An 11036-nucleotide genomic window follows, 5' to 3' on the forward strand; every position below is an offset into this window, starting at 1 on the left:
AAGGAGTTTACAGTCTAGCCACTGAGATAGGAGTTGTACCCAAATAATAACTACTTACTGTTAAAGAGATTAAAAGAAAACTGAAGTGTAGAAACTCCCTAGCATGCACTTTTTAGAACCAGGACTGGGACCAGTTGCAACCCCTTGTCTCTGGGCTTTATAACCTCCTGGGAAGAACTGGAGGTCTGTCATGGAGTCCCCTGAGTGTTTGTTCTGTCTTATGGCTGCATTATTGAGGAAAACTGCCACCTAAACTTCAAGGCACTAGTACAGAAAAATCCAGTTGTTTTTATTAATCAGTGCACATCCATAATTCATCTTGGTCTGTTCCTTCACATCATTGACAGAAAGCAAATTGTTTGGCCAATTTAGTTGTAGTTTTTCTCTCTCTAGAATCTAATTGAATTTCTACCTACTTGTTTTCTTCCTTTTCCAATACTTTGGGATGAAAGAAAAGGAATTTCCTCTTAAATATTTCCTATGAGCCACTTTTCTGTGTTTATTAAATGAAAAGCCAGTAATACCACTGCCTTTACCACCTAAGCTTGTACATATTTCAGGATACCTTTATATACATTTTTTCATTTGATGCTTATAACAATTTTGTGAGGTAACTAAGATAGATATCCTCATTTTACATAGAAGAAACTAAGATTAAAAGGGTTATATTTTCCAGTGATCTATTTTTTTTTTAAGAATAATTTGGTGAAATTCTTTTTTACTTACAAAGCCTAAGGTTTTAAGCTGCATGGCAGCATGCCATTTTATACACATTTTTTCTTGAGTAGGAAAGGAATTGATTGAAAAACCCGACACAACCTAATTGTTTTCTTAATTTCTAAGGGTGCCTTTAGCCGTCTGGACCCAACTGGAACATTTGAGAAAGAAATGATTGGCAGAATTCCCTGTGGTCGCCTGGGGACTGTAGAAGAACTCGCAAATCTTGCTGCTTTCCTTTGTAGTGATTATGCTTCTTGGATTAATGGAGCAGTAAGCGTTGTTTATTTCTCTTCACTTTTTTTTCAGGAGTGTGTTTGGGGCAGGGAGGTCTGTTGTGGAACCAATCCTGACAATGCTGAATGTAAATATCATTTAAAATATGTATTTAGTTGTAAATAATATAAAATATTATATATATTGTTTAGCCTATGACATTTATTCAGTGATGTATTAGTCTGTTCTCACACTGCTAAAGACATACCTGAGACTATGTAATTTATAAAGAAAAGAGGTTTAAGGGAAGTGCAGGGGGTTGGGGAATTCCCTTTCCTAGCCAAGGGAAGCCCTGACAGATGGTACCTGGAAAATCAGGACACTCCCACCCTAATACTGCACTTTTCCAATGGTCTTAGCAAACGGCACACCAGGAGATTATATCCCGCGCATGGCTCAGAGGGTCCCATGCCCACAGAGCCTCGCTAACTGCTAGCACAGCAGTCTGAAATAGAACTGCAGGGTGGCAGTGAGACTGGGGGAGGGGTGTCCGCCAGTGCTGGGGCTTGAGTAGGTAAACAAAGTAGCCTGGAAGCTCAAACTGGGTGGAGCCCACCACAGCTCAAGGAGGCCTGCCTTCCTGCCTCTATAGACTCCACCTCTAGGGGCAGGACATAGCTGAACAAAAGGCAGCAGAAACTTCTGCAGACTTAAATGTCCCTGTCTGACAGCTTTGAAGAGAGTAGTGGTTCTCCCAGCATGGAGTTGGAGATCTGAGAACGGACAGACTGGCCCCTCAACTGGGCCCTTGACCCCCGAGTAGCCTAACTGGGAGACACCTCCCAGTAGGGGCCAACTGACACCTCATACAGCCAGGTGCCCCTCTGAGACGAAGCTTCCAGAGGAAGGATCAGGCAGCAACATTTGCCATTCTACAATATTTGCTGTTCTGCAGCCTCCACTGGTGATACCCAGGCAAACAGTGTCTGCAGTGGACGTCCAGCAAACTCCAACAGACCTGCAGCTCAGGGTCCTGACTGTTAGAAGGAAAACTAACAAACAGAAAGGACATCCACACCAAAACCCCGTTTGTATGTCACCATCACGAAAGACCAAAGGCAGATAAAACCACAAAGATGGGGAGAAACCAGAGCAGAAAAGCTGAAAATTCTGAAATTCAGAGCGCCTCTTCTCTTCCAAAGGAATGCAGCTCCTCGCCAGCAACGGAACAAAGCTGGACGGAGAATGACTTTGACGAGTTGAGAGAAGAAGGCTTCAGATGATTGGTAATAACAGACTTCTCTGAGCTAAAGGAAGGTGTTGGAACCCATCGCCAGAAAGCTAAAAACCTTGATAAAAGATTAGATGATGGCTAACTAGAATAAACAGCATAGAGAAGACCCTAAATGACCTGATGGAGCTGAAAACCATGACATGAGAAATACGTGATGCATGAACAAGCTTCAGTAGCTGATTCGATCAAGTGGAGGAAAGGGTATCAGTGATTGAAGATCAAATGAATGAAATGAAGTGAGAAGAGAAGTTTAGAGAAAAAAGAGTAAAAAGAAATGAACAAAGCCTCCAAGAAATATGGGACTATGTGAAAAGACCAAATCTACGTCTGATTGTACCTGAAAGTGACAGGGAGAATGGAACCAAGTTGGAAAACATGCTGCAGGATATTATCCAGGAGAATTTCCCCAACCTACCAACGCAGGCCAACATTCAAATTCAGGAAATACAGAGAAGGCTACAAAGATACTCCCTGAGAAGAGCAACTCCAAGACACATAATTGTCAGATTGACTAAAGTTGAAATGAGGAAAAAATGCTAAGGGCAGACAGAGAGAAAGGTCAGGTTACCCACAAAGGGAAGCCCATCAGACTAACAGTGGATCTCTCAGCAGAAACTACAAGTCAGAAGAAAGTGGGGGCCAATATTCAACATTCTTAAAGAAAATAATTTTTAACCTAGAATTTCATATCCAGCCAAACTAAGCTTCATAAGTGAAGGAGAAATAAAATACTTTACAGACAAGCAAATGCTGAGATTTTGTCACCACCAGGCCTGCCTTACAAGAACTCCTGAAGGAAGCACTAAACATGGAAAGGAACAACCGGTACCAGCCACTGCAAAAACAGGCCAAATTGTAGAGACCATCAATGCTACAAAAAAACTGCATCAACTAACGAGCAAAATAACCAGCTGACATCATAATGACAGGATCAAATTCACACATAACAATATTAACCTTAAATGTAAATGGGCTAAATGCTCCAATTAAAAGACACAGACTGGCAAATTGGATAAAGAGTCAAGACCCATCAGTGTGCTGTATTTAGGAGACCCATCTCACATGCAGAGACACACATAGGCTCAAAATAAAGGCATGGAGGAAACCCTACCAAGCAAATGGAAAACAAAAAAAAAGCAGGGGTTGCAATCCTAGTCTCTGATAAAACAGACTTTAAACCAACAAAGATCAGAAGAGAGAAAGAAGGCCATTACATATTGGTAAAGGGATCAATTCAACAAGAAGAGCTAACTATCCTAAATATATTTGCACCCAATACAGGAGCACCCAGATTCATAAAGCAAGTCCTTAGAGACCTACAAAGAGACTTAGACTCCCACACAATAATAATGGGAGACTTTAACGCCCCACTGTCAATATTAGACAGAACAACAAGACAGAAAGTTAACAAGGATATCCAGGAATTGAACTCAGCTCTGCACCAAGCAGACCTAATAGACATCTACAGAACTCTCCACCTCAAATCAACAGAATATATATTCTTTTTAGCACCACATCTCACTTATTCCAAAATTGACCACATAGGTGGAAGTAAAGCACTCCTCAGCAAATGTAAAAGAACAGAAATTATAACAAACTGTCTCTCAGACCACAGTGCAATCAAACGACAACTCAGGTTTAAGAAACTCACTCAAAACCGCTCAACTACATGGAAACTGAACAACCTGTTCCTGAATGACTACTGGGTACATAACGAAATGAAGGCAGAAATAAAGATGTTCTTTGAAGCCAATGAGAACAAAGACACAACATACCAGAATCTCTGGGACACATTTAAAGCAGTGTGTAGAGGGAAATTTATAGCACTAAATGCCCACAAGAGAAAGCAGGGAAGATCTAAAATGGGCACCCTAACATCACAATTAAAAGAACTAGAGAAGCAAGAGCAAACACATTCAAAAGCTAGCAGAAGGCAAGAAAGTACTAAGATCAGAGCAGAACTGAAGGAGATAGAGACACAAAAAACCCTTCAAAAAATCAATGAATCCAGGAGCTGTTTTTTTTGAAAAGACCAAAAAAATTGATAGACCGCTAGCAAGACTAATAAAGAAGAAAAGAGTGAAGAATCAAATAGATGCAATAAAAAATGATAAAGGGGATATCACCACCTATCCCACAGAGATACAAACTCCCATCAGAGAATACTATAAACACCACTATGCAGATAAACTAGAAAATCTAGAAGAAATGGATACATTCCTGTACACATACACTCTCCCAAGACTAAACCTGGAAGAAGTTGAATCCCTGAATACACCAATAACACACTCTGAAATTGAGGCAATAATTAAAAGCCTACTAACCAAAAAAAGTCCAGGACCAGACAGATTCACAGCCAAATTCCACCAGAGGTACAAAGAGGAGCTGGTACCATTCCTTCTGAAACTATTCCAATCAATAGAAAAAGAGGTAATCCTCCCTGACTCATTTTATGAGGCCAGCATCATCCTGATACGAAAGCCTGGCAGAGATACAACAACAAAAAAAGAGAATTTTAGACCAATATTCCTGATGAACATTGATGCAAAAAACTTCAGTAAAATACTGGCAAACCAAATCCAGCAGCACATCAAAAAGGTTATCCACCACGATCAAGTGGGCCTCATCCCTGGGATGCAAGGCTGGTTCAACATACCCAAATCAATAAACATAATCCATCATATAAACAGAACCAAAGACAAAAACCACATGATTATCTCAATAGATGCAGAAAAGGCCTTCGACAAAATTCAACTGCCCTTCATGCTAAAAACTCTCAGTAAACTAGGTATTGATGGGACATGCCTCAAAATAATAAGAGCTATTTATGACAAACCCACAGCCAGGGGGCAAAATCTGGAAGCATTCCCTTTGAAAACTGGCACAAGACAGGGATGCCCTCTCTCACCACTCCTATTCAACATAGTGTTGGAAGTTCTGGTCAGGGCAGTCAGGCAGGAGAAATAAATAAAGGGTATTCAATTAGGAAAAGAGAAAGTCAAATTGTACCTGTTTGCAGATGACATGATTGTATATTTAGAAAACCCCATCATCTCAGCCCAAAACCTCCTTAAGCTGATAAGCAACTTCAGCAAAGTCTCAGGATACAAAATCAATGTGCAAAAATCACAAGCATTTTTTACACCAATAACAGACAAGCAGAGAGCCAAATCATGAGTGAACTCCCATTCACAATTGCTTCAAAGAGAATAAAATACCTAGGAATCCAACTTACAAGGGATGTGAAGTACCTCTTCAAGGAGAACTACAAACCACTGCTCAGTAAAATTAAAGAGGACACAAACAAATGGAAGAACATTCCATGCTCATGGATAGGAAGAATCAATGTGTGAAAATGGCCACACTGCCCAAGGTAATTTATAGATTCAGTGCCATCCCCATCAAGCTACCAATGACTTTCTTCACAGAATTGGAAAAAACTACTTTTAAAGTTCATATGGAACCAAAAAAGAGCCCACATTGCCAAGACAATCCTAAGCCAAAAGAACAAAGCTGGCATCATCACACTACCTGACTTCAAACTATACTACAAGGCTACAGTAACCAAAACAGCATGGTACGGTACCAAAACAGAGATATAGACCAACGGAACAGAACAGAGCCCTCAGAAATAATACCACACATCTACAACCATCTGATCTTTGAGAAGCCTGACAAATACAAGAAATGGGGAAAGGATTCCCTGTTTAATAAATGGTGCTGGGAAAACTGGCTAGCCATATGTAGAAAGCTGAAACTGGATGCCTTCCTTACTCCTTATACAAAAATTAATTCAAGATGGATTAAAGACTTAAATGTTAGACCTGAAACTATAAACACCCTAGAAGAAAACCTAGGCAATGCCATTCAGGACATAGGCATGGACAAGGACTTCATGACTAAAACACCAAAAGCAATGGCCACAAAAGCCAAAATAGACAAATGAGATCTAATTAAACTAAAGAGCCTCTGCACAGCAAAAGAAACTACCATCAGAGTGAACAGGCAACCTACAGAATGGGAGAAAATGTTTACAATCTACCCATCTGACAAAGGGCTAATATCCAGAATCTACAAAGAACTTAAATTTACAAGAAAAAATCAAACAACCCCATCACAAAGTGGGCAAAGTGTATGAACAGACACCTCTCAAAAGAAGATATTTATGCAGCCAACAGACACATGAAAAAATGCTCATCATCACTGGCCATCAGAGAAATGCAAATCAAAACCACAGTGAGATACCATCTCACACCAGTTAGAATGGTGTTCATTAAAGATTCAGGAAACAACAGGTGCTGGAGAGGATGTGGAAAAATAGGAACACTTTTACGCTGTTGGTGGGACTGTAAACTAGTTAAACCATTGTGGAAGACAGTGTGGTGATTCCTCAAGGGTCTAGAACTAGAAATACCATTTGACCCAGCCATCCCATTACTGGGTATATACCGAAAGAATTATAAATCATGGTGCTATAAAGACACATGCACACGTATGTTTATTGCACTACTATTCACAATAGCAAAGACTTGGAACCAACCCAGATGTCTATCAATGATAGACTGGATTAAGAAAATGTGGCACATATACATCATGGAATACTATGCAGACATAAAAAAGGATGAGTTCATGTCCTTTGTAGGGACATGGATGAAGCTGGAAACCATGATTCTGAGCAAACTCTCACAAAGACAGAAAACCAAACACCGCATGTTCTCACTCATAAGTGGGAATTGAACAATGAAAACACTTGGACACAGGGTGGTGAACATCACACATGGGGGCCCGTCGTGGGGTGGGAGGAGCGGGGAGGGATAGTATTAGCAGATATACCTAATGTAAATGACGAGTTAATGCGTGCAGCACACCAACATGGCACATGTATACATATGTAACAAACCTGCACATTGTGCACATTCACCCTAGAACTTCAAGTATAATTAAAAAAAAAAAAAGAAAAGAGGTTTAATTGATTCACTCTTCTGCATGTCTGAGGAGGGCTCAGGAAACTTACAATTATGGCTGAAGGGGAAGAGTCATAACTTAACATGGTGGCAGGCAATAGAGATAAAGAGAGGGAGAGAGAGAAAAAAGGGAGACGAGAGAGAGAGAGATTGAGGATTACAATTCAAGATAAGATTTTTTTGGGGACACAGCCAAACCATATCAAGTGATAAATTAATAGATGCAGGTTACCTTGGTAGATATACCTTTAAGATGATCTTCAATATTGGGTAGATATTTGAAATTGTGGAGATGTTAGAAATAGAATTATAAACTGAGTAAATCAATTTAGGTTTAATCATGAGTTTTATCTTTAAAATTTGGGCTTGATTTAAAGTGCCAAAGAGATATTCCATCCAATTAGTATGGGAAAATGGCTAGTGGTTCAGAAACTTTTTAAAAGGAGTTAGTTTCAGAGTTTAAAAATTTGTTTTTTCCAGGTCATTAAATTTGACGGTGGAGAGGAAGTACTTATTTCAGGGGAATTCAACGACCTGAGAAAGGTAATGCTTTTGTGTGTATAATGTAATATCAGCAGCTAGGATACTAAGCTTTAAAAACATGTAAAAAGGACATTAAATTGACATCTTTTTTGTGTTAGGTCACCAAGGAGCAGTGGGACACCATAGAAGAACTCATCAGGAAGACAAAAGGTTCCTAAGACCACTTTGGCCTTCATCTTGGTTACAGAAAAGGGAATAGAAATGAAACAAATTATCTCTCATCTTTTGACTATTTCAAGTCTAATAAATTCTTAATTAACAAACATTCATTGAATATGTATTATGTGCCAGGCCAGTGATAGCCATTGTATATTCAAAGATAAATAAAATGAAATATAGTCCTTCAAAACATTAAAAAAAAAAAAAGGAGGCATGGGGAGAGTAGGTAAAGGCTCCTCTTTACCTATTGATAGAGGTAAAAAGTACTTAGAAGTGCAGAGAGAACAGATCTTTGTGACTTGGAAAATCAGGAGAAACTCAATGGTGGCGGTAGCATTTGAGTTACATAATATACTATACCTATATTAATAGGGCCTAAAAGAAAGAAATTAGAGGATACACACTAAATATAATAGACTTTGCCTTTCCAGTATACTTTCTTTTCACTGGACTTGTGAATTATCTTCTTTGGGTAACTCAGTATTAACTCAAACCTTTAATTTTTACTAGGACCTATTTGTAGCCAGGCATTTTATTTAGTACTGAATAAGCTATAGCCGTTGCCCTTTTTAAATTCATTATCTAGCAAGATAGTCAAACTTATAAATAATTATTTATGATACATTGTGATAAGTATTATTCCAGCAGTATTTAAGTGTAGAGGAGGAAGTAATTCATTCTGTCTCCAGAGTTTGGAGAATGTGATGCCTAAGAGATAGCATGCCATCCCAGCTGTAAAAGAAGAATAGATTTCTCTGGGTAAAAGAGGTAAAGAAAGCCTATAAAATATTTTTGTATATCATTTGATTAAATTTCATCTTTGGTTTGACTAATTTGTCATCCTGAAAATCAAATAATAATGAATCCAAAGTCTCAAGTCTACAGAGCTATACTTTTGAGCCTATATTTTTAAAATGTCCATTTTGCTTTCCCAGGAGTCAGTTACAACATGTTCACTAGACTGACTATCCCCATTGCCCAAGTTGACACAAGAGGAAACCAGCTTCCATCTTACCTCATCTGAATAAATCTGCCACAAGCCCATGGAAACCCCAATTAACATTGACAGTTAATTGTGTACATAAATTACATTTATTACATTTAATTGTGTATATATAGGGGATGTTATAGGTTTGGAATAAGTGGCCCAACATTTCCAATTATACTGACTTTCACTGGGCTTTTTTTTAGGCTGTTGCACTTTTTCTCCACATGCTTGCAATACAATACTCTCAAAATAAAACGCAGACAGGTACCTAGTCTCCATTTTACCTTTAGTACTAATCCTGTGTATTAGTCTGTTCTCATGCTGCTAATAAAGACATAACCCAAACTGGGTAATTTATAAAAGAAAGAGGTTTCATTGACTCATAGTTCAGCATGGCTAGGGAGGCCTCACAATCATGGCAGAAGGTGAGTGAGGAGCAAAGTCATGTCTTACGTGGTGGCACCCAAGAGAGCTTGTGCAGGGGAACTCCCATTTATAAAACCATCAGATCTCGTGAGACTTATTCACTATCACACTATTGTGTTGATATTGTGTTCACACACCAATAATGATGGTTTATCACTCACTCCATTTCCAAACCCACCTTCCCACCCACCTCTCACCAAACACACAAAGACACACTCTTTCCCTCCACTGATTCCACCAGTATAGCCATATTTCTCTTTCTGGTTAAATTTATACTAAATGTTTACATTTATATAACTTAATAAATATTATTTTTTTCCAGTGTTGTCTCAACCTTTTTTAAAAAAAAAATTCAGATTACATGATAAATCAGGTCCTTTTTTAGATAAATATTATTTTTAGTGTTCTATTGTTTTGATGTATCATTATTTAATTTATTGGGAATAGGGTTATTTATATTTATTGTTTTTATCTTTTTAAATTTTTATAGAGACAATGTCTTGCTATCTTTATCAGTCTGGTCTTGAACTTCAGATCTCAAGTGATCCTCCTGCGTTGGCCTCCCAAAGTGCTGGGGTTACAGGCATGAGCCACTGAGCCTGGCTGTTGAAAATTTTTTGTTTTTTAATGTTTTTCAAGAATGCTAATGCCTCCCTTGCCAATGCATTTTAAAATTATTATTAATATTACTTTTGATTGGCAAATCATAATTGAATTCATTTATGGGGTGCCCTGTACATTTAAGGGGTACAGTGTGATGTTTTGATATGTGTATACAATGTGGAATGATTAAATCAAGCTAATTAACATATCTATCACCTCTCTTACCTATTGGCCTTTATGGAGAGACATTTGAAATTTACTTTTATTAGTTATTTTTAAATATACAGTACATTATTATTGACTATAGTCACCCTGCAGTAGATCTTAAAACCTGTTCTTTCTATCTGAAATTTTGTATGCTTTGATCAGAAACCCCCTTCTTCCCACTCCCTCAACCTCTAGTAAACCATCGGTCTACTTTCTTTTCTTTTCTTTTTTTTTTTTTTTTGATATGGTGTCTCACTCTTGTTGCCCAAACTGGAGTGCAGTGGCATGATCTTGGCTCACCGCAGCCTCCACCTCCCGGGTTCAAGCGATTCTCCTGCCTCAGCCTCCTGAGTAGCTGGGATTATAGGTGCACGTCACCATGCCCGGCTAATTTTTCGTAGTTTTAGTAGAAACAAGGTTTCACCATGTTAGCCAGGCTGGTCTCGAACTCCTGACCTCAGGTGATCCGCCTGCCTAGGCCTCCCAAAGTGCTGGGATTACAGGCGTGAGCCACCGTGCCCGGCCAATCATCATTCTACTTTCTACTTCCATGAGTTCAACTTTATTTGATGCCATACATAAGTGAGATCACAGGTTACTTTTATTTTTCAGTATTATAAATAAAACTATGAACGTTTTTATGTATAACACATTTTTAGAATTTGGAATTTTTTCCTCATTTCTAGAAGTGGTATTATTAATCAAAGTTATGAAGCTTTTAAAGTTTTTTTGATATACATATCCAATTGTTATTCCAAAGATTTGTGTGAGTTTAAACCCCCCTGAGTAATGTGTGACACTGCCCGTTTCAACAAATAGCTGCCAACAATTAAAACTATTCACCAATTTTACACGTAACGAATGATAGTACCGTTAAAAACTTATTTTATTATTAGTGAGATTGAATACTTTTCTACAC

General features: G+C 38.4%; 1 protein-coding gene across 6 annotated transcripts in view; it reads left to right on the forward strand.

The window, feature by feature from the left end:
• Nucleotides 1–9628, forward strand: part of DECR1 (2,4-dienoyl-CoA reductase 1) — a 52157-nt gene extending 42529 nt beyond the window's left edge. For all 6 annotated transcript variants that reach the window (XM_047421410.1, NM_001330575.2, XM_011516880.4 and 3 more), the window contains 3 exons: nt 844–990; nt 7672–7734; nt 7833–9628. In XM_047421410.1, the coding sequence (XP_047277366.1) occupies nt 844–990; nt 7672–7734; nt 7833–7892 (270 nt within the window). In that variant the 3' untranslated portion in view covers nt 7893–9628. The remainder of the gene's footprint in view (nt 1–843; nt 991–7671; nt 7735–7832) is intronic.

The sequence above is a fragment of the Homo sapiens genome, chromosome 8 (assembly GCF_000001405.40).
Source record: "Homo sapiens chromosome 8, GRCh38.p14 Primary Assembly".
NCBI classification, from domain to species: domain Eukaryota; kingdom Metazoa; phylum Chordata; class Mammalia; order Primates; family Hominidae; genus Homo; species Homo sapiens.